The sequence below is a fragment of the Homo sapiens genome, chromosome 2 (genome assembly GCF_000001405.40).
Source record: "Homo sapiens chromosome 2, GRCh38.p14 Primary Assembly".
Taxonomy (NCBI): domain Eukaryota; kingdom Metazoa; phylum Chordata; class Mammalia; order Primates; family Hominidae; genus Homo; species Homo sapiens.
In genome coordinates this window covers 96,266,039-96,288,482 of record NC_000002.12, presented here as the reverse complement: position 1 = coordinate 96,288,482, position 22,444 = coordinate 96,266,039, and the positions used below count along the sequence as shown (strand labels likewise).

General features: G+C 50.1%; 2 protein-coding genes across 2 annotated transcripts in view, besides 4 other annotated features; one reads left to right on the top strand and one right to left on the bottom strand.

Moving 5' to 3' along the window:
- The window catches only part of SNRNP200 (small nuclear ribonucleoprotein U5 subunit 200), a 31,209-nt gene extending 17,064 nt beyond the window's left edge, over nucleotides 1-14,145 (top strand). The window contains exons 25-45 of the mRNA NM_014014.5: nucleotides 514-620; nucleotides 926-1,044; nucleotides 1,323-1,477; nucleotides 1,606-1,795; nucleotides 1,999-2,172; nucleotides 3,143-3,303; nucleotides 3,898-4,125; nucleotides 4,479-4,670; nucleotides 4,770-4,948; nucleotides 5,131-5,282; nucleotides 6,561-6,669; nucleotides 8,924-9,032; nucleotides 9,485-9,674; nucleotides 9,772-9,936; nucleotides 10,125-10,246; nucleotides 10,533-10,676; nucleotides 10,768-10,944; nucleotides 11,242-11,402; nucleotides 11,498-11,579; nucleotides 13,134-13,226; nucleotides 13,328-14,145. Of these exons, the coding sequence (NP_054733.2) occupies nucleotides 514-620; nucleotides 926-1,044; nucleotides 1,323-1,477; nucleotides 1,606-1,795; nucleotides 1,999-2,172; nucleotides 3,143-3,303; nucleotides 3,898-4,125; nucleotides 4,479-4,670; nucleotides 4,770-4,948; nucleotides 5,131-5,282; nucleotides 6,561-6,669; nucleotides 8,924-9,032; nucleotides 9,485-9,674; nucleotides 9,772-9,936; nucleotides 10,125-10,246; nucleotides 10,533-10,676; nucleotides 10,768-10,944; nucleotides 11,242-11,402; nucleotides 11,498-11,579; nucleotides 13,134-13,226; nucleotides 13,328-13,471 (3,153 nt within the window). The 3' untranslated portion in view covers nucleotides 13,472-14,145. The remainder of the gene's footprint in view (nucleotides 1-513; nucleotides 621-925; nucleotides 1,045-1,322; nucleotides 1,478-1,605; nucleotides 1,796-1,998; nucleotides 2,173-3,142; nucleotides 3,304-3,897; nucleotides 4,126-4,478; nucleotides 4,671-4,769; nucleotides 4,949-5,130; nucleotides 5,283-6,560; nucleotides 6,670-8,923; nucleotides 9,033-9,484; nucleotides 9,675-9,771; nucleotides 9,937-10,124; nucleotides 10,247-10,532; nucleotides 10,677-10,767; nucleotides 10,945-11,241; nucleotides 11,403-11,497; nucleotides 11,580-13,133; nucleotides 13,227-13,327) is intronic.
- Nucleotides 8,502-9,701: an enhancer, noted in NCBI's record as "BRD4-independent group 4 enhancer chr2:96944520-96945719 (GRCh37/hg19 assembly coordinates)". NCBI's record gives its function as "activates an origin of replication core promoter dependent on BRD2, P300/CBP, MED14 and CDK7 cofactors, and independent of BRD4, by STARR-seq in HCT116 cells {active_cell/tissue: HCT116}" and the evidence as "EXISTENCE:reporter gene assay evidence [ECO:0000049][PMID:35650434]".
- On the bottom strand, nucleotides 14,310-22,258 carry CIAO1 (cytosolic iron-sulfur assembly component 1). Its single transcript, NM_004804.3, has 7 exons — nucleotides 21,994-22,258; nucleotides 21,014-21,162; nucleotides 20,747-20,858; nucleotides 20,559-20,647; nucleotides 19,825-20,026; nucleotides 19,128-19,215; nucleotides 14,310-17,372 (listed from the first exon to the last, which is right to left on the bottom strand). The coding sequence occupies exons 1-7, from the start codon at nucleotides 22,130-22,132 to the stop codon at nucleotides 17,132-17,134; spliced, it is 1,020 nt and encodes a 339-aa protein (NP_004795.1). The 5' UTR covers nucleotides 22,133-22,258; the 3' UTR covers nucleotides 14,310-17,131.
- Nucleotides 19,870-21,069: an enhancer, noted in NCBI's record as "CDK7 strongly-dependent group 2 enhancer chr2:96933152-96934351 (GRCh37/hg19 assembly coordinates)". NCBI's record gives its function as "activates an origin of replication core promoter dependent on BRD2, BRD4, P300/CBP, MED14 and CDK7 cofactors, with strong dependence on CDK7, by STARR-seq in HCT116 cells {active_cell/tissue: HCT116}" and the evidence as "EXISTENCE:reporter gene assay evidence [ECO:0000049][PMID:35650434]".
- Nucleotides 21,667-21,946: an enhancer, noted in NCBI's record as "active region_16213". NCBI's record gives its function as "activates an Ori minimal core promoter by ATAC-STARR-seq in GM12878 lymphoblastoid cells {active_cell/tissue: GM12878}" and the evidence as "EXISTENCE:reporter gene assay evidence [ECO:0000049][PMID:35858748]".
- Nucleotides 22,177-22,366: an enhancer, noted in NCBI's record as "active region_16212". NCBI's record gives its function as "activates an Ori minimal core promoter by ATAC-STARR-seq in GM12878 lymphoblastoid cells {active_cell/tissue: GM12878}" and the evidence as "EXISTENCE:reporter gene assay evidence [ECO:0000049][PMID:35858748]".

The following is a 22,444-nucleotide window of genomic DNA, read 5'->3' as shown; positions in this document are numbered from 1 at the left end:
TGAGCACGTGGGAAAGGTAAGACCTTAAGAGGGAATGCTTCGAGGCTCCACGGGCCCTCAGAGAGACAGGAAGAGCCACAGCACGCAGTGTCTGCTTCCCAGCAGCAAAGTGATTTCCCACTGTTGCTGCACAGCTCATAAATAAATCCAAAAATGGCACAGGGTTTTATTAGCTGCTCTTCATCTTTACCTCTAAGAACAGGTCACTGGTACCCTCAACTCTTCCTAGAACTCTAAATGCTAAATGACTCAAAAGCTTTAAAATCATGCAGTGAATGTTAGGTTAAAATGTTGTGCAGTGACCTTGAGCCGCAGCACTCTTCTAATTGTTCCCCATCCGGCAAGCATCTACTATATGGAACGGAGAAAGGCGTAAAGACAGAGGGGACTTTGCCTTTGAGTTAGGGTGGGTGGTTGTGTCAGAGCTGGAGGTAATGAAACCGTGTGTAGAGTGGCTCATGAGGCCTGGGGATAGTCGAGACTTAACAGTGGGAATGCTGCTTCTTTGCTTAGTCGGCTGGCCGGTTGATGCGAGCGATATTTGAAATTGTCCTGAACCGAGGTTGGGCACAGCTTACAGACAAGACCCTGAACCTCTGCAAGATGATCGACAAACGCATGTAAGGACCCAGTGAGCTGGATGCTGGTCACCATGAGTGGGGGTCCCCAACCCAAGGGTCTGATGGGAAAGCCTCAGGGTGCATCTGATCTCCAGACCTGACATCGGAAGTATGACCTGAACCTTGGTGCACATTGAGAAGAGGGAAGGCCCTCTGTGGTGGAGGCCAGGGCTGGCACAGTGTCAGTGTCTGCCTTTAATGACTGTGTTTTGTGTAGTCACTGCTAAACTATTGGAAGCCATGAAGTGGGTGGTTTGTCACATCCCTGCAGAAGGGACCAACAGCTTTGCCTCCTTCCTGGATAGGTGGCAGTCCATGTGTCCTCTGCGCCAGTTCCGGAAACTCCCTGAGGAAGTAGTGAAGAAGATTGAGAAGAAGAATTTCCCCTTTGAGCGTCTGTACGACCTGAATCATAATGAGATTGGTGTGTGGGATGCTCTCGCCCTTGTCCTCACTGCCTGGGTGTCTCTCCCAGTTTGCCTATGTAGTCTTCCTGTTCCTAGGCCTGTGCATTAGTATCCTGTGTTCACTCCCCAAGTCCCACTGAAGTACAGGCTGGCCCTTGGTCTGGGGACTTGGAATCCTGGGCTCCACTGACCATAAAGGGAAGACCCTACCCCTTTCCCACAGTGGCCCTCAGGCCCAGTTTGCAGTATAGTAGGCAGGCTGGGCTGCAGCCTCAGTACTCTCATTTCCTTGTAGGGGAGCTTATCCGCATGCCAAAGATGGGGAAGACCATCCACAAATATGTCCATCTGTTTCCCAAGTTGGAGTTGTCAGTGCACCTGCAGCCTATCACACGCTCCACCCTGAAGGTGGAGCTGACCATCACGCCAGACTTCCAGTGGGATGAAAAGGTGAGGCTTTGCTGGGCAGAGGTGCTGGATTGGAGGTGCTCAGTCTACGTTGCTGGGCCGAGGAGATGGATTGGAGGCACTCAGTCTACGTTGACTCACATTCCTTTTACCCTTGCTCCTGTTGGCAGGTGCATGGTTCATCCGAGGCTTTTTGGATTCTGGTGGAGGATGTGGACAGCGAGGTGATTCTGCACCATGAGTATTTTCTCCTCAAGGCCAAGTACGCCCAGGACGAGCACCTCATTACATTCTTCGTGCCTGTCTTTGAACCGCTGCCCCCTCAGTACTTCATCCGAGTGGTGTCTGACCGCTGGCTCTGTGAGTGTCTCCTCTCCAGAGTCCCCAGGAACAGTCCCTCCAAGGACAGTAGAAGAATGTCTTGCACTTTGTCCCGGGCTTGCCCTTGCTGGGGACAGAGTGATACATATGCTGCCTAGGTTTCCAGTGTTCATGGAGGGGATCTAGAGGCCAGTGAGGGAAAGAGAGCAGTGCTTATATCCTTCCTGTTTCTTTTCTGGCAGCTTGTGAGACCCAGCTGCCTGTCTCCTTCCGGCACCTGATCTTGCCGGAGAAGTACCCCCCTCCAACCGAACTTTTGGACCTGCAGCCCTTGCCCGTGTCTGCTCTGAGAAACAGTGCCTTTGAGAGTCTTTACCAAGATAAATTTCCTTTCTTCAATCCCATCCAGACCCAGGGTAAGTGTTTCCATCCCTCCTCTGGAGGCTTTTGAAGTCACCGGGAGACAGATGTGCTCTGTGGCAGGCAGGGGAGTGGGGGTGCTCAGGCACTTGGGAGGTCTGGGAGCTCCTCAGTGTGACCGCTGGGACCCACCAGGACTTTTTCCTTTGTCAGAAGCCTTTGGTTGCTTTGCTGCTCTGCATGTGTCACTGTGGAGGGGCAATAGAGCAAGGCCTTACATGGCATGGTCATTTCTCGGGCCCAGGAGGCTTAGAGGCCTGCCCCTGGCGCTCAAGTATTGAACCAGAACCATGGGGTGGCACTGAAGCCTCCTCACCACATCATGATAAATAACGGGGACATTCACAGAGCAGGCACTGTTTCCTCAGTCCATGGCTGAGTACATCACCGGTGTTTTCTCTCTTATTCCTCCCATCAAGCCTAAAAGGAATCTCTATTGGAGATACTGCCATTAGTGTTCCTTTTATAGGTGAGGAACTGAGGCATAGAGGGTTCCCCAGTTGAACCAACTGATAAATAGTAGAACTTGGATTTTAATTCAGTCTTGATGCCAGGGATAAGGCTCTTACTTTCTACCTTAGGCTATTTCTAGGAAACGCAGGAGAGTGTTGAAGGGGCAGAGAAAGGGATCCAGTTCCTTTCTGTCCCGCATCCTAGTCCCTGAGAAGCAAAGAAGAATGTGTGGCTTCTTTTGCTTTGCTTTTGTTGTCATCCCACACATCTCCAGGGGACCTGGGCTCTTGATCTTGGCCTCTTCCCCTTTAACTGTTAAGTGGGAGCAGGTAAGGGGGTACAGTAGGGCTGGCCTGGAGTTAGAGGCTTGGATGCCTTAGCTCCTCTGTCTGCACTCCAGAACTGCCTGACTTCATTTCGTATGTTGTCCTTTGTTTTGACAATTGATCCATGTCCCAGTCCGTCTCTTCTTCCTTCTTGATACTTACACTGCTTCTTTCTGTTGGTTTCCAGTGTTTAACACTGTATACAACAGTGACGACAACGTGTTTGTGGGGGCCCCCACGGGCAGCGGGAAGACTATTTGTGCAGAGTTTGCCATCCTGCGAATGCTGCTGCAGAGCTCGGAGGGGCGCTGTGTGTACATCACCCCCATGGAGGCCCTGGCAGAGCAGGTATGACGTGGCGCTGTGTCATGTGAATTTCCCAAGAAGCATTTCATCTGTGATTCCGTATGAAGGCTTTCTAAGCCCTGAAATTTGCAGGGTCATTTCCTCAGTTTGTGTATTAAAGAAAAGCTGCCCCAGCCAAGCGTGGTGGCTCACGCCTGTAATCCCAGCACTTTGGGAGGCCGAGGCGGGCAGATCTCCGGAGATCAGGAGTTCGAGACCAGCCTGGCCAACATGGTGAAACCCTGTCTCTACTAAAAATACAGAAATTAGCTGGGCGTGGTGGTGTGCGCCTGTAATCCCAGCTACTTGGAAGGCTGAGGCAGGAGAATCGCTTGAACCCGGGAGGCGGAGGTTGCAGTGAGCCAAGTTCGCACCACTGCACTCCAGCCTGGGCAACAAGAGCGAGACTTCATCTCAAAAGAAAAAAAAAAAAGAAAAAGCTGCCCCATCGCATCGCATAGAGGCTGCTATGGGATTAGAACGTAGCTTGAGATCTGCAGGTCAACAGGTCTGTTTGGCATCTCAGGTTTTCCTCACATAAGTGAAAGATGCCTGGTATGGCCTAGTGTTGTTCTGCCTCCCTCCTCTGCCCGCCAGGTATACATGGACTGGTACGAGAAGTTCCAGGACAGGCTCAACAAGAAGGTGGTACTCCTGACAGGCGAGACCAGCACAGACCTGAAGCTGCTGGGCAAAGGGAACATTATCATCAGCACCCCTGAGAAGTGGGACATACTTTCCCGGCGATGGAAGCAGCGCAAGAACGTGCAGAACATCAACCTCTTCGTGGTGGATGAGGTCCACCTTATCGGGGGCGAGAATGGGGTATGGCGTGACCTTGCAGCACAGATGAGGGACTGGGACTGACCAAGTGGCCTTGGCATTGGACCTAATGTTTGGGTCTGAGGACGGAGGCTCGGGGCTTCTCCCCAGAGGATTCTACCTGCTGCCCTATTCCAAAGGGACAATGTTAACTTTTTTGGTAGTACTTTAGGAAAACAGTATTGTTTAGTGGAGGTTGGCTGCCGTGGAGGAGGTAGAACCAAACACATGAGAGCTCCTAGTTAGAAGGAAGAATGAGGTCATTTTGAGGCTGTTGGGCTGTTCACAAAGGGGACCTCCAGGCAGAGGATGGGAGCCTTGGCCTGCAGTGACCCTCCCTCCCTCCCTCTTTCCAGCCTGTCTTAGAAGTGATCTGCTCCCGAATGCGCTACATCTCCTCCCAGATTGAGCGGCCCATTCGCATTGTGGCACTCAGCTCTTCGCTCTCCAATGCCAAGGATGTGGCCCACTGGCTGGGCTGCAGTGCCACCTCCACCTTCAACTTCCATCCCAATGTGCGTCCCGTCCCCTTGGAGCTGCACATCCAGGTAGGACCCACTCTCCTCATCCGTCTGTGGGGTGTCACATAGATCCTGAGTGACCCAGGTCTGATAACCTTGGTGTCTTTTCTTCTCCCCGGTCGCCAGGGCTTCAACATCAGCCATACACAAACCCGCCTGCTCTCCATGGCCAAGCCTGTGTACCATGCTATCACCAAGCACTCGCCCAAGAAGCCTGTCATTGTCTTTGTGCCGTCTCGCAAGCAGACCCGCCTCACTGCCATTGACATCCTCACCACCTGTGCAGCAGACATCCAACGGCAGAGGTAGGTGGGGCCTGGCGTCTGGGGGTTGGGGTTAGGTTAAGTGAGGCTGGCCTACTCCAAGGGTGTCCTCTTTATGAGGGTGGGGTTAGCCCATGTTGCTTGGGGCCAGGTTCTGCACAGCTGGCAAAGTGTCTGCCAGGAATTGAACTACTCTGAGCTGAGCCAGTGCCTGTACCGCACAGGTTCTTGCACTGCACCGAGAAGGATCTGATTCCGTACCTGGAGAAGCTAAGTGACAGCACGCTCAAGGAAACGCTGCTAAATGGGGTGGGCTACCTGCATGAGGGGCTCAGCCCCATGGAGCGACGCCTGGTGGAGCAGCTCTTCAGCTCAGGTAAGTCAGGCCACGGAAGGGGAGCATAGCAAGGGTATCACCAAGTGGTGGTGTTAAACTTGAGGGGTGCGGGTGGCAGTGTTTTCTCTACAGCATACCAGAGATTTTCAAAATACTGTTTAGGACTCTTGGCTGTTAACTCATTTGATCCTCCCAAGAACCTCGTGAGGCAGGTGAGACAAACACTATCCCTACTTGCCAGGTGAGAAAACAGGCAGACACATCAGGTTGTGCTATTTCAGAACCTGGTTTTCTAGAGTCCAGGACCTTTGGCCACCAGACCGCTGATTCTCCGTGGATACCAGACTCCCCAAGTGTATTAGTCCGTTCTTGTATTGCTATAAAGAAATACCTGATACTGGGTCATTTATAAAGAAAGGAGGTTTAATTGACTCAGTTCTGCAGGCTGTACATGAAACATGGTGTTATCTGCTTCTGGGAAGGCCTCAGGGAAGGCAAAGGGGAAGCAGGCATCTTATATGGCAGGAGTCAGGACCGAGAGAGTGAGTGGGGAGGTGCTACACACTTTTGAACAACCAGATCTCGTGAGAACTCATTCACTAGACAGTACCAAGGGTGGGTGGTGCTAAACCATTCATGAGAACTCTGCCTCCATTAGCCAGTCATCTCCCACCAGGCCCTTCCTCCAACACTGGAGACTACAGGTCGACGAGATTTGGTGGAGACACAGATCCAAACCGTCTCACCAAGATAGTTAGACTTTAGAGATTAGCACAGAGGAGAGCTCTGATTCTCCCTTGAGCTCACTCTTGCTGGCCACTGTCTCTTGTTGCCCTGTGGCATTTTGTGCAAAGATTTACGTTTTAATACTGTTTATTGGAGCCTCATTGGAGATTCTTCTGCCAGAATCACTTCCTGTCACTCTTTGGCCCTTGAATCTGCCTGTTTGGGGCATGCTTAGAGTGATCTCTGTTTTGCTGGCATGGCTGAGCCAGCCCGTGGCTGCATGAGTGTTAGCACTTTCTGGTCAGAGGAGCAGTCCATCAGCTGTAGTTTTGCCTTGGTGTTCCTGGGCTTTGGGTTCTGTTCTATGATGACTTGTTTTCTCCTGGATAGTCCCAGAGCAAGGCACCAGCAGCGTGGAGCTACCTCATAGCAATGTGTTAGCTCTCATTCATGTTAGACCTTGTTCCTAGCCAGCCTTGCTGTGAGTTCTGAAACATAGCACAGGGTAAGCCACGGCCTGCCCATGAGGCAGTGAGCCTACTTCACCCGGAGACCCCTGCCCTCAGCCTTCCTCTCCCCTCTACTGCTCAGGGGCTATCCAGGTGGTGGTGGCTTCTCGGAGTCTCTGCTGGGGCATGAACGTGGCTGCCCACCTGGTAATCATCATGGATACCCAGTACTACAATGGCAAGATCCACGCGTGAGTACAACTGGTGCTCTGTGTTAGCACAGACCTCCTTCCTAAAATGAATGTGAATCTGCAGATACACAGAAAGTAAGCTAGGATGAAGAAAAGGTGTTAGGGAAGTTAACAGCTGAGATGCCACCAGAGCCAAGTGTTTGAGAGTTTTGTGTCTCAATACCTAGGCTCACATTTGCTTTTTAGTCATTGTGCTTCCTTATTCAGCAGCTGGGAGAGGTAGGAAATTAGAGCCAGGAGGAATGTTTGACGTTACGTCATTAATCTCAGACATCTTGTAGATTAGGAAAAGTGACTTGGTCGAGGTCATACACCTATATAGTGACAAGTAAGAAGCTAGAGGAGTGCCGAGCGCAGTGGCTCATGCCTGTAATCCCAGCACTTTGGGAGGCTGAGGCGGGCGGATCACTTGAGGTCAGGAGTTCAAGACCAGTGTGGCTAACATAGTGAAACCCCCGTCTCTACTAAAAATAACAAAAATTAGCTGAGTGTGGTGGCAGGCGCCTGTAATCCCAGCTACTTGGGAAGCTGAGGCAGGAGAATCAGTTAAACCTGGGAGGCAGAGGCTACAGTGAGCTGAGATCCCACCATTGCACTCTAGCCTGGGCAACAGAGTGAGACTCCAACTCAAAAAAAAAAAAAAAAAAAAAGCCTGGGTGTGGTGGCTCACACCTGTAATCCCAGCACTTTGGGAGGGCAAGGTGGGCAGATCACCTGATGTCAGGAGTTCAAGACCAGCCTGGCCAACATGACAAAACCCCGTCTCTACAAAAATTAGCCAGGTTTGATGGCAGGTGCCTGTTATTCAAGCCACTCACCTGTAATTCAAGCCACTTGGGAGGCTGAGGTTGGAGAATCACTTGAACCCAGGAGGCAGAGGTTGCAGTGAGCCAAGATCGCGCCATTGCACTCCAGTCTGGGCAACAGAGTGGTACCCCGTCTCAAAAAAAAAAAAAAAAAAAAAAGGGCCAGGTGTGGTGGCTCATGCCTGTAATCCCAGCACTTTGGGAGGCCAAGGCGGGTGGATCACAAGGTCAGGAGTTCGAGACCAGTCTGGCCAATGTGGTGAAACCCTGTTTCTACTAAATATACAAAAATTAGCCTGGTGTGGTGGCACGCGCCTGTAATCCCAGCTACCTGGGAGGCTGAGGCAGGAGAATCGCTGGAACCCAGGAGGCGGAGGTTGCAGTGAGCCGAGATAGCACCACTGCACTCCAGCCTGAGCAACAGAGCGAGACTCCATCTCAAAAAAAAAGAAGTTAGAAGAGTCAGTCATTCTCATAAAAAAGCCTGCATAATTTGTTGTTGTTTTTTTTTTAAGACAATCTTGTTCTGTCGTTTAGGCTGGAATGCGGTGGTATGATCTCAGCCCACTACAGCCTCTGCCTGCCAGGCTCAAGCAATCATCCTGCCTCAGTCTCCCAAGTAGCTGGGACTACCAGCATGTGCCACCACTCCCAGCTAATTTTTCCTTTTTTTTGTATAGATGGGTTTTCACCATGTTGCCCAGGCTGGTCTTGAATTCCTGAGCTCAAGTGATCCACCCACCTCAGCCTCCCAAAGTGCTGGGATTACAGGTGTGAGTTATAGTGCCTGGCCCAACGCTTAATAACTTTTTCCTGAAATGCAGATTAGTTTGAAATGAATTTTATTTACGGGTTCATTTTTAATGTTTGAACCTGCTTCTAGGTAGGGTTAAAGTTGGGTGACTTGATGACTCACGAAATACACAACTATGAAGTTTGGAAAGTGTGGTGGTATGCACCTGTAGTCCCACCTGCTCTGGAGGCTAAAGTGAGAGGATCACTTGAGCCTAGGAGGTAAAGGCTGCAGTGAGCCGTGGCTGTGCCACTGCACTCCAGTATGGACAGCAGAGCAAGACCCTGTATCAAAAAACAAATAAAAACAATAATAATTTTTTTTAATTAAAGGAGAAAAGTTTGGGAAGTTTGACTTACATATTTGATCCTCGAATAGGGAGTTATTTTGGTTTTGGCATTAGATAGTTTTGTAGCTTGGTTCATGGCACTTGAGCAGCAAATTCATGGCCCTTACACTGAATACTAAAATGTTATACAGGCCAGCCAGTGAAGCTAGTTGTAAGTGCAGAGATTCATAAACAGAGTCGTCCCGTGATTTGTCCGTGTCTCCCCGTATTAACATTTTACTCTTACTTGGCGAAGGGAGTTGGGCTTCCTGAGCATGGTCTCCGTGTTGAGGTGGCTTTTCCTTCTTTCCCTGCTTCTGTCACCAGCTATGTGGATTACCCCATCTATGACGTGCTTCAGATGGTGGGCCACGCCAACCGCCCTTTGCAGGACGATGAGGGGCGCTGTGTCATCATGTGTCAGGGCTCCAAGAAGGTCAGTCCTAGACTCATGGAGCCTCTTGGATCCGTAGCCTCAGAATGGATTCTTTAATCTTTCTTTTGATAGATGTCTTCAGTAACTTTAGTCTCTTAACTTCTGCCTCTCTTATTTACACAATTCTTTTGTGACGAGCCTGCCACCCACATGGAATTTTGCTGCCTTTTGCTTTTGCTGCTGCCGTTGGCTCCACGTGTTGAGGTCTTCACCCTCTACTTGGTTCTCTCCTTCCTCCTTGGGCTGCTCACTGCTCTGCCCTCGTGACTTGCTGTACCTCTGTTCCCACTGCGTATTGTCACCAGTGATGCACTTTCTAAATGTGTGGCTTCTTCCATTTTGGTATTAGTTAGGTCTCACACAGGGACCATGCCCTGTTGATTTGCCCTTGGCCCTCTGTGACCGTGTTGTCACTAATTCTTTATTACTCCTTCTCCCTCTCCAACCCACAGGATTTCTTCAAGAAGTTCTTATATGAGCCATTGCCAGTAGAATCTCACCTGGACCACTGTATGCATGACCACTTCAATGCTGAGATCGTCACCAAGACCATTGAGAACAAGCAGGATGCTGTGGACTACCTCACCTGGACCTTTCTGTACCGCCGCATGACACAGAACCCCAATTACTACAACCTGCAGGGTCAGTGGGCTTGGGAGCACACGTGATCCTTTGGTGGTTCTCACAGTCTTTGCTGGGCATCTTCTTGAGGCTCCCCACTCACCTCTCGCCTCCATAGGCATCTCCCATCGTCACTTGTCGGACCACTTGTCAGAGCTGGTGGAGCAGACCCTGAGTGACCTGGAGCAGTCCAAGTGCATCAGCATCGAGGACGAGATGGACGTGGCGCCTCTGAACCTAGGCATGATCGCCGCCTACTATTACATCAACTACACCACCATTGGTGAGGCCCGGCATGGCCCGTGTCCTGTCTGTGGGAGCCTTTTTACACGGGTCAGGAGCCCACTGGGATGAGAGGTGCGCCCGTGTTTGTCAGCGGGATGACACTGCAGGGGACAGCAGGGGAGCCCGGGCAGTTCTGCTCCTTCTCTGCCTGGTTTTAGCTTCTCTCACATTTCCTTTTTCTGTCAGAGCTCTTCAGCATGTCCCTCAATGCCAAGACCAAGGTGCGAGGGCTTATCGAGATCATCTCCAATGCAGCAGAGTATGAGAACATTCCCATCCGGCACCATGAAGACAATCTCCTGAGGCAGGTGAGGACAGCAGACTTCAGGAGAGCATCCTGGGAACAACAAACTCGGCCTGTGTGCCCAGAGCACATGGCATCCCTGCCACCAACACGCCCATACGCATCCCCCGACCCCCGCCATATGTCCTCCCGCTCCATACCTCCCTCAAACCCATCTCCATCCCATTACCACCCACATGCCTCAGGGTGTTGAAGGGCTGTGTGAGCCTGGGCCACGTGGTGCTTTGGCCTGAGCTGGTCTCAGGCAGGGTCACCTGTTCATCACCAGCTATTTTTCTTCCACTTTGTAGTTGGCTCAGAAGGTCCCCCACAAGCTGAATAACCCTAAGTTCAATGATCCGCACGTCAAGACCAACCTGCTCCTGCAGGCTCACTTGTCTCGCATGCAGCTGAGTGCTGAGTTGCAGTCAGATACGGAGGAAATCCTTAGTAAGGTAGAGTGTGGGTGTGGGGCAGAGGGGTCAGTGGTGCTCTAAACATCTCAGCTCCAACTCCGCCCACTTTTATACTCCTTTTCCTGTTCAGGCAATCCGGCTCATCCAGGCCTGCGTGGATGTCCTTTCCAGCAATGGGTGGCTCAGCCCTGCTCTGGCAGCTATGGAACTGGCCCAGATGGTCACCCAAGCCATGTGGTCCAAGGACTCATACCTGAAGCAGCTGCCACACTTCACCTCTGAGCATATCAAACGTTGCACAGACAAGGTGAGCCGGGTCAGCCTAGAGGGTCAGGTGGGTGAGCCTGAGAGCCCAGTGTTGTGGACCGAGCGTGGGTTGCGGGAGGTGAGTCTCAGTAAGTTAAACTTTTAGTTATGGTTCCTCCGAAGGTGCTCCCTGTTGAGATGCTAGAGAGCCTGCCAACTGTGGGCTGTGTTCTTTCTGCAGCTGTTTTATCTAGATGACTTGATAGTGTAGGAGGTAAAATTAGTAGCTCTTTGCTGCCTGTGTCATTTGCTGTTGGCCCGTGTTCTCTCTTTCCTGACGTCTGAATACTCACTGCAGGGAGTGGAGAGTGTTTTCGACATCATGGAGATGGAGGATGAAGAACGGAACGCGTTGCTTCAGCTGACTGACAGCCAGATTGCAGATGTGGCTCGCTTTTGTAACCGCTACCCTAATATCGAACTATCTTATGAGGTGGTAGATAAGGACAGCATCCGCAGGTGAGCCAGAGGTGGTGCCTGTTGGGCACAGCATAATAGTGTGCTCTGAGCCCACTGCCCCATCACTGACGTGCGCCCCTCCTCTCCCCCTGCAGTGGCGGGCCAGTTGTGGTGCTGGTGCAGCTGGAGCGAGAGGAGGAAGTCACAGGCCCTGTCATTGCGCCTCTCTTCCCGCAGGTGCGTCCTGGTAGCTGGCTTGGTCAGGTGTCAACTCACCCTATCCATTGGCTAGGTGCTTGGTACAAGGGCACACTGTCCCTGAGGGAGGGAAACTTTAGACTGATAATCAGCTCACAAGGGTGAGAATTAATCTTGAGGCTATGGGGTTTTTTTTCTGTTTGTTTCTGCTTAAACAGTTTAGGGCCGGGCGCAGTGGCTCACGCCTGTAATCCCAGCACTTTGGGAGGCCAAGGCGGGCGGATCACGAGGTCAGGAGTTCGAGACCAGCCTGGCCAACATAGTGAAACCCCGTCTCTACTAAAAATACAAAAATTAGCTGTGCGTGGTGGTGGGCACCTGTAGTCCCAGCTACTCAGGAGGTTGAGTCAGGAGAATGGTGTGAACCCAGGAGGCGGAGGCTGCAGCGAGCCGAGATTGCCCCACTGCACACCAGCCCAGGCGAGTGTGAGACTTCATCTCAAAAAAAAAAAAAAAAAAAAATTTAGATGACTGGTCATTGTTAAACCCGTCAGTTGTGTAGTATTGTCCATCTCTCTGACTCTTTAAGATGCATTTGTCTTTAACTCCGATGGCTGCAGGACACTTGGGCTTTCCTGGTTGTTTCTTCTTTTTTCTCACTGCCACTTACTGTGCTTCTGGGTGCTTGGTTTTTTACCACCAGAAAGAAATTCTGGTTCTCTTTATATGGGAGAATAATTGAAGGTTGATAGCAGAAACCAGATACTGTCATGTTTAATTCTGTAAACTAATTGTTTCAAGGCTCTGAGTAAAGACTGCTTTTAACTGGGACTCTTCGTCTTTGTGACAGCGGGGCAGCCCGTAGACAGGGCTGCAAGGCCTGCTGTGGATATCTCTGTGCACATTCAGCTCTGTGTTAAGCTTTTTCTTTTTTTTTGAGACGGAGTCTCGCTCTGTCGCCCAGGCTGGACTGCAGTGGCGCGATCTCGGCTCACTGCAAGCTCCGCCTCCCGGAATCACGCCATCCTCCTGCCTCAGCCTCCCGAGTAGCTGGGACTACAGGCACCCGCCACCATGCCCGGCTAATTTCTTTTTTGTATTTTTGGTAGAGACGGAGTTTCACCATGTTAGCCAGTATGGTCTCGATCTCCTGGCCTCGTGATCCACCCGCCTCGGCCTCCCAAAGTGCTGGGATTACAGGCGTGAGCCACCGCGCCCAGCCTAAGCTTTTTCTCATCTGGCAGATTTGCCTTGTACTTAAAAGTATCTCTAAGGAACTCAAAGCTCCTAGGCCCCAAAGACTAGACCTCTAATAGTAGTACCTTGGACTTAGTGGCAGGTACTAAGTGGGAGAAGGTACCTTGGCACAAGGAAATGAGCCAGAACCAACAAATGAATTCATCTACTTAAAAAATTAAGTCTGTTTGAGACAACTTTTGATAGTATTAAAATGTTAAATCTAATTGTATTTCGGGAAGAAACTTTGGAAAGCTATCTGATTTTTGTTCTCTCTTTTGTAACTGTACCATTTTCATGGTTGCCTATGGTCATCAAGTTTTACATGCTGAAATTCTTGGTTTTGGATCACTGCAGAAACGTGAAGAGGGCTGGTGGGTGGTGATTGGAGATGCCAAGTCCAATAGCCTCATCTCCATCAAGAGGCTGACCTTGCAGCAGAAGGCCAAGGTGAGTGTGTCCACTGGCCCTAGCATTTGTTCTGGCATGGGGGAAGGGTGAGAATGCTTCCTGTGTCCATGCTCATCTTGATTTCTGCCTGCTCTTTCTAGGTGAAGTTGGACTTTGTGGCCCCAGCCACTGGTGCCCACAACTACACTCTGTACTTCATGAGTGACGCTTACATGGGATGTGACCAGGAGTACAAATTCAGCGTGGATGTGAAAGAAGCTGAGACAGACAGTGATTCAGATTGAGTCCTGAGGCATTTACTTTTGGGTAAAGGAGAGTTGAGCCTGAATTAGGAATGTGTACATTGTAGGAATCCTGGTTGTGGGGACCAGGTCTGTGGGCCTCAGGTCTGGCCAGCCAGGGCTGGTGCTGTCCCCGCCTACCTCCACTTCCTTTCCCTTGCTCACTCTGGATCCAGTGACAGCAGGTGTCATGGGTCAAGCATAAATCATATATAGCATTTTCAGGCATGTTCCTGGTAGTTCTTTTGAGTCTGACATTCTAATAAAATAATTTGTAGAAACCATTTGTCTTTGTAGTGATTCCAAATTAAAAGTTTTCTTTCTCCAACCTGAGGGCACGGCCAAAAAGATCTGGTTATTTTTTAGCCAGGAACGTGCTTGTTAATGAGTATGTCTGGAGGACAGACCTGCTCATTAGGTGTGCTGTCCCCTGTAGCCTCGTGAGTCAGCCCAGAGGAGGGTACATGCGACTGTGGCCTGGCCTCAGTGGTACCCACACATCAGCACTACCACAAGAACCAACACTGAGCCTCGGAAGCTAGATCACAGGTTAGGGGTTTCTCTAGATGGGGGTTCTGAAATTTGCAGTGTCTGCTCCTGGGAGGCAGCACCAGAAAGGGCACTGAAATGTACTAGCTGGATGTGACCCAGTCTTAATAAACAGGTTTTCTAATCCAGATCTTCCGACTGTCTTCAAATTCTTACCTTCTGTTCTTTAGATTAAATGCACACAAAATTGAAAGATGATTCTGAAGGGCAGTTTCCTCAGGGTAGCAGTTTTCAAATGATTTGGTCTTAGGACCTCTTTACACTACTAAAAACTAAGAAACTCAGGTTTTTGTTTTTTTTTTTTTCTTTTTAAATAACAAATTTATTTTTCACAGTTCTGGAGGTTGCCCCAAAAAGCTTTTATTATCTAGATTAAGGTTAATGCACTTTTAAATCATAATGTTAACATTTTTTTTCTTAATAGAGACAGAGTTTAGCCATGTTGCCCAGGCTGACCTTGAATTCCTGAGCTCAAGTGATCCGCCCACCTCAGCCTCCCAGAGTGCTGGGATTACAGGCATGAGCCACCATGCCCAGCCCACGTTAACATTTTTTATGAAGAATAACTTCCAAAACAATCCAAGGAGAAGGGTGGCATTTTACAGTCTCTTTAGTATCTTGTTATAATAAACAGTTGAATTCTTACAGCTGCTTCTACATCCAAACTTTTTTGTTGAAGTAAGTTGACTTCACACAGATACGCAGTTGGAAAAGTTTTTAAAATAGCCTTTTCAGCTAATTGTGGCTATTCTTTGATACCACACCAAGACTACAAGTGATTTTTTTTTTTTTTTTTTTTTTTTGAAATGGAGTCTCGCTCTGTCACCCAGGCTGGAGTCCAGTGGCACGATCTCGACTCACTGCAACCTCCACCTCCCGGGTTCAAGCTATTCTCCTGCCTCAGCCTCCCGAGTAGCTGGGACTACAAGGGATCTGCCACCACGCCCGGCTAATTTTTGTAATTTTAGTAGAGACGGACTTTCACCATATTGGCCAGGCTGGTCTTGAACTCCTGACCTTGTGATCCACCCACCTTGGCCTCCCAAAGTGTTGGGATTACAGGCGTGAGCCACCGCGCCCGGCTTACTACAAGTCATAGTTTCTTAAAGGCAATGTAGACTCCGAAAACTTAATGCACTCTTATATTGTTAATACATTAAAATCCACTGGCCTGTCTTACACTTTTGAATCAATCTTTGAGCCATGCATGATTTTGTAACATCACGTACTGGTCACTTGGAAAAATGGTTCATTGAATTCTTCCAAATGAAATGCATTTCATTATACAAATCACATTTGTTAATATCCCCAACAATAAAGCTCATGGTGGAGTACAGATTTTCGGAAATTCCAATTTTTGCTTGAAAGCTTTATCACTGGCAACACTATCAGTTGTTTCCCTTGAGGTGAGAGGCTCATTCCATTAATTTCCAGAAAATATCAGCCAAATATTCAAGTCTAAATACCGTAATCTGCTAGTTCTTTCAATTCTAAAGGGCATGCCTTGAACACAGCCAATTCAGCTTGCAACTCAACTGTGTAACTGCTTTTCCTCAAGGCACCCATACTTCAGTGCACAGCAGAGGGGCTTTATGCATGCTTCCAGTTTTCTCAGAATATTATAAATTCTCAAGGTCAACTTTTTTTTTCTTTTTGAGACAGGGTTTCACTCTTGTTGCCTGGGCTGGAGTGCAATGGTATGATCTCGGCTCACTGCAACCTCCACCTACCGGATTCAAGCGATTCTCTTGCCTCAGCCTCCCGAGTAGCTGGAATTACAGGCATGCACCACCATGCCCAGCTAATTTTGTATTTTTAGAAGAGACGGGGTTTCTCCATGTTGGTCAGGCTGGCCTCGAACTCCCGACCTCAGGTGATCCGCCCGCCTCAGCCTCCCAAAGTGCTGGGATTACAGGCATGAGCCACTGCGCTGGCTAGGTCAACATTTAATAGTTAACCATTGCTATTTGTTCTATCAAGGACATATCAAAACTACTAGAAGTTTGCTGCCACCACCTTGATTCATGCCACAGTGCCAACAGTTGACCTCACAGATCCTCCCTGAAAGGGTCTTGGGACTCCCAGGATCTGCAGGCCGCATTCTTCGAGAACCACTATTCTAGGTACAGCCCCACTGTCCTTCTAAAATCTAAGGTCACAGCTTAAACTTCAGGGAAGGCTGTAGTTTTGGAGGCCATTGTCACATTAGAACCCATTTAGAAGTGACTGTCAAGAGACAACTTGAGTGAGTCTGAAACTGCCTGCTGATGGCAGTGTTTCTCAACTGGTTTAAATCGCCAGTCCCCTAGGAAGCCTTCTTCCTGATCACTCCCTGCCATGAAAATGGAATATCACAGACACACTATATGTGCTGTGGGCCTTAGGAGGGCCACAAACAACTGCTTGTGATTTTTTTTTATCCTTACTGAAGAACCAATTTGCATCCCTGTTGAGAATACAGGGCTTGTGGCCAGTAATAACTCTCCCTTTTAGGATTCCTGTCTTTCCCCATTTTTTTTCTATCCCCAGTTGCCATCACAGCGTAACGGTGCAGGGAGGTATATGAGGGTTGCTAAGGGAAAGCAGAGGTGCCCCTCACTCAAACCTACATTCAGAAAAAAATTTCCTTCATTATTGATTGGATGTCTTAAATGCAAAGACTTACACAGAAACTGGGAAGGGAGGACCTATTTCAGACAAGGATTCACCATGGAATTTTTATGAATATCCTTATAAAATAGGACTTGGGATGCAGATGGATTATTTCTTTAAGTCTTGCAACTTCAGAAAAGCCTGAGACACATACCCCCTCCTACTATATATAGTGATTATAAATAGTATATTTACCTCCAAAAAATTTAACACTGTGCCCTAATGCAAGAAAAATCTGTGGTATAACAATGTACTCATGTTCTGTAGCTCTTTACTGAAGGCCTCATGTCAAAGGCGGGGAAGGAAAGCAATTCTGTGGCTCTGCACTTCTACCCAAGTCTGAAGAGAAGTGAGCCAAGTTAAATGAAGGTCAAGGATGCTCCTCCTGGTCCTCTCAGGGGCTGGTAAAGTCTTATATGACGTTTTCTGGGGAGTCATTACTCTGTCCAAAGTCGAGGTAGCTCAGAGGCCTTCAGGCCGCTGATACTTCCAGAAGGCCACCTCCCCATCATCACTGCAGGAGGCCAGTAGCCCTGGCTCCTTGGGGTTCCAGGCCACACAGTTGACATCCTGGGAATGGGCCTGATGCAAGTGGGCTGTCAGGGAGAAGGTGGGCTGCTGTGGATCCGAGTTGGGATCCTCCTGAAACACGCGGATCGCGTCATCCCCACAAGCTGTGGCCAGAGCCCCTGTCAGCTGACACCTGGAAGGAAAGTGACATCAGTGGGTATACCTGACTAATTAGGCCAGAGAGACCTGTTCCATAGTTCCTGGCCTGTTCTCTTCCCTAACTTCAGGCCTCAGCTAAAAACCTCTTATTAAAATGTTTCCTTAACTAATAAGGAGTCACAAATATCACCCACTTATATCTTCAGATGCTGCAATCTAGTTCTTTCCCCTACTATGATTATCCTAAAAAACGACATGCAATTATGAACTGCACTTTCCTCACTTGGCATAAGCAGTTTCCCATGTCATAAAGTTGTTTTTTTTTTTTTTTTTTTGAGATGGAGTCTTGCTGTGTCGCCCAGGCTGGAGTGCAGTGGCACAATCTTGGCTGACTGCAACCTCCCCCTCCCAGGTTCAAGCGATTCTCCTGCCTCAGCCTCCTGAGTAGCTGGGACTACAGGCATGTGCCACCATGCCCGGCTAATTTTTGTATTTTCAGTAGAGACAGGGTTTTATCACATTGGACAGGCTGGTCTCAAACTCCAGACCTCAAGTGATCCACCTGCCTCAGCCTCCCAAAGTGCTGGGATTACAGGCCATGAGCCACTGGGCCCAGCCATCATAAAGTTTTTTTTTTTTTTCTTTAGATGGAGTCTTGCTCCATCACCAGGCTGGAGTGCAGTGGCGCAATCTCGGCTCACTGCAACCTCCGCCTCCCGGGTTCAAGCGATTCTCCTGCCTCAGCCTCTGAGTAGCTGGGATTGGGTGCGTGCCAACACGCCCAGCTAATTTTTGTATTTTTAGTAGAGACGGGGTTTCACCATGTTGGTCAGGCTGGTCTTGAACTCCTGACCTCATGATTCACTCACCTTGGCCTCCCAAAGTGTTGGGATTACAGGCGTGAGCCACAGCGCCTGGCCCCATCATAAAGTATTCTTAACCCCTTTCTTTAAACAGTGATACAACAAGCTGAGTTCTACCATAATTTACTTAAGTTCACTTTTGTTGAATAGGTGATTCCCAAATGTTTGCTAATATAAAGCAAGCTTAAGTGCTCAGTTTTTTTCACTGTTTTGGATTTCCTAGGGATCAATTCTCAGGGCCAGAACTACCCTCTAACCTACTCTCCTATATGAATGGTGCAGCTTTTCCAGCTTCCACAAGGCCAGAGTCAGTGTTACCTATAAAAACCCCAGCCACTGCCAGGTGCGGTGGCTCATGCCTGTAATCCCAGCACTTTGGGAGGCCAAGGTGGGCGGATCATGAGGTCAGGAGATCGAGACCATCCTGGCTAACGCGGTGAAACCCCGTCTCTACTAAAAATAAAAAATTAGCCAGGCATGGTGGCGGGCGCCTGTAATCCCAGCTACTTGGGAGGCTGAGGCAGGAGAATGGTGTGAACCCGGGAGACGGAGCTTGCAGTGAGATGAGATCACGCCACCGCACTCCAGCCTGGGCTGCAGAGTGAGACTCTGTCTCAAAAAACAAAAAAACAAAAAAAAACCCTCAGCCACGAATGCAGATTCAATAATAACTTCTGGACAGCACGAGCTGTGCGAACCTCTAGCGCTGGTGCTACCCTCACAGCCTGGGACTGTTCTCTGCTCCTGTGAATGCCAGCCCAGCCAGCTGTAAACCAGCATGGTAGAGTCAGGCCTGATAAGGAATGGGGGTGGCTGCCCTCAATTCCCAAGCACTCCCCCAGGGTTGCAGAGGACTGCATAGGGTATGCCTTCTCTAAAATCCCTGATTTATGGGGATGGGATGGGGTGGGGGGATGGAGTCTTACCAAGCAATGTCATAAATGGTCCTTGAGTGGAAGCCGGACAAAGTACAGATACATTTCCAACTGGGGTCAGAGCCGCTGCATGCCACCCCTGCAAGACAGACTTCTCTTGCCCTTAAACGTTCCTATGTCCTGGGCACCTCAAAGGAGAACCTAACTTACCTTCCCTCACCCTCATCTTCAACTGATTATGAGTCTGTGTCTCCGTTCGTGTCCCCATCCCTGCTTATCTGCCTTACACACTATAGCCAGACTGGCGTTTCTCAAGCAGAATTCCGAGGAAACATCCCTGTTCTGTTGCAGACTGTATGTAACTACTTTGCGTGCCTGTGAAGGCCACCCACCAGCCGACCCAACCCACTTTATTCCTCTCCAAACCCCAGACGTCCTATGCCCCATTTAAATGCATTACCACCCCTCAGTCTAAGCATTCCCGCCATTGTTATCTTTACTCACACTGTTGAGTTTTCACTTGAATTCTCACGTGAAATTCTCATGTTAAAATCCTACATACCCTTTTAAATTCAGATGAAACAACCCATTCTACAAAACTTTCCTGATTCTTCCAGCACTCTATCCAGAGCCCTCTTGTAGCACATCTTACCTTTTACCCCCATTTGCTCTGACTCATGTACGTGTCTTAGCAGACTGTGAACCCCTTGAGAGATGGGTCTTCTTTAGCTCTACTAATGGACCTCACCTTGTTCATTGCCTGGTAGATACTGACGCCAGATACGCACAGTACGGTCATCACTACAAGACGCCAGGCGCTGGCCACTCGGGTCAAAGGCCAAGCTCCACACAGTGGATTCATGGCCCTCAAGGGTGGCACAGCATACCCAGTCATCCTCTTCCTCCCGGTACAGCTTCACTGTGTCATCATAGCTGGCAGAAGCTAAGAGCTGGGGGAAGAGTGAAAGGAAACCCAACATGTGTCTGTGTGGCCCAGGAAGCAAAGGACAGGTCAGTTCCAGGTATCTGCTTTTATTTTATTTTATTATTTATTTGAGATGAAGTTTGCTGTTGTTGCCCAGGCTGGAGTGCAATAGCACGATCTCGGCTCACCGTAACCCCCGTCTCCTGGGTTCAAGTGATTCTCCTGCCTCAGCCTCCCGAATAGCTGGGATTACAGGCATGTGCCACCATGCCCGCTAATTTTGTATTTTTAGTAGAGACGGAGTTTCACCATGTTGGCCAGGCTGGTCTCGAACTCCTGACCTCAGATGATCCACCCACCATGGCCTCCCAAAGTGCTGAGATTATAGGTGTGAGCCACCACACCCAGCCGGATCTGTTTTTATAAAGGGACTAATGTTTTTTGTTCACAGATGGAACTCTCCGTAAAAGCTAGATTAAGGCTGAAAAGCAGAGGAAGGCTGGGCACAAGCCTGCACACCAGAGCCCTTCCCACAAGAGTCCCTGCTTGACTCTTACCTCCTGACTTGGGTGCCAAACCACATGCTTGACATCCTGTGTGTGGGAGTTGAGAACACTGACACATTCATACTCATCCTCTTCATCAACTGTGGGAGAGAAAAAGGGGACCCAAGAGCCGACCCTGTCAGGGACACAGAGGGGGCTGTCAGGTGGTTCCCAATCCACCTGGAGGGACCTGGCCTCACCTTCCCAGACCCAAACGCTCTTATCTCGGCTGCAAGTGGCCAGGAGGTTGCCAGATGGGGCCCAAGCCACTGACTTGACCTCATTTTCATGGCCCTCGAGAGTGGTTACACACTGTGAAAGGGGAAAGAAAATGAGAATTAACAGCAGCTAACACCCCTAAGCCCCTTCCCATGGGTACAGCCCAACTGGCGCAGGTTGGCTCAGGTTCCTGAACCAGCCCTGGGGAGGAAACAGGCAATAATTCTGGTCCCAACCAGCCTGGGTACCTCAAAGTCATCCTGGTTCTTCTTCCAAATGCAAGTGGTAGCATCAAAGCTGGCAGAGGCCAGGTAATTACCGCAGGGGGACCAGGCTACCTTCCGCACGGTGCGCTGGTGGCCTTCAGAAAGGACAGACTTGCAGATCCAGCTGTCACCTAAAGGCGGAGCGCAGGCCAGGCTCTGGAGCTGGGTGCAGCACCATGAAGCCATTCAATATCAGGGGCTAGCACTGGAATCAAGCTAGTGGGGGAAAGCTCAGGGAGTGTATTTCACAGCTTTTACAAAGATGCAAATGAATCTACTTCGTCTGGAAGCTTTTTTTTTTTTTTTTTTTTTTTTTTGAGACGGAGTTTTTGCTCTGATGCCCAGGCTGGGGTGCAATGGCACAATCTCGGCTCACTGCAATCTTCGCCTCCTGGGTTCAAGGGATTCTCCTGCCTCAGCCTCCCGAGTAGCTGGGATTACAGGTGCCCGCCACAACGCCCAGCTAATTTTGTAGTTTTAGTAGAGACGGGGTTTCACCATGTTGGCCAGGCTGGTCTTGACCTCTTGACCTCAGGTGATCTACCCGCCTCTGCTTCCCAAACTGCTAGGATTACAGGCGTGAGCCACCGCGCCCAACCTCTGGAGGCATCTTTCTAAAACAAATCTGATCTAAAATTGCTATTGGTTCCCCAATGCCCTCGGGATAAAATGTGACCATCCAGTCGCAAGTTACTCTGAAGGCCACTTTCCTAACACCTCTCTTTTCCCATTTTCCTGCCTCTGCAGCTAACACAATTCCCTTGACATTTCAGCTTGTCTGCTGACGTTTTTCCTCCCAACAGTCGCAGACTTCTTTGCCTGTAAAGCCCTTCTCGGCGTGGCTAACATCCCACTCTCCCTCCGCCAGGAACAGGTTCAGCCTCCCCTGCAGGCTGAGCGCCTGCACTACGCGCAGGCTGAGCCCTCAGCGCTGAGGGCCGCGCAACCAGGCTGGGCCTTACCCTCCGTGCCCCAGATGCGGATTCTCCGGTCGCCGCCGCACGAGGCCAGCAGGGTCCCCGCGGGGTTCCAGGCCAGGAACCAGCAGCGGGAGTCCGGGTGCGCCGGGACACGGCCCAGCAGCACCAGCGAGTCCTTCATGTCGGCCCGACGCAGGGGGAGGTGGGGGCGGGCAGAGTCCGCTGAGCAGACAGCGGGTCTCACCGCGCGCGTCTGCGTACCGCCCACTCCAGGCTTCCGCGGCCGACAGAGGCTCCCGCTTCCGCCGGAGGACCTGGGTCGCCCCGGAAACTCAACTGCCCACTGCTGCGGCCGCCATACCCTCTGGGAGTTGTAGTCGCTCCCCTCACCTCGGCAGGGAAAGCATCGCGGGACCGCCTCGAACTACCAGTCCCGTGAGGCCCTGCGCAGAGCCGGCGGCGCGCCCAGGCTGTGACGCGCGCGGGGGACGGG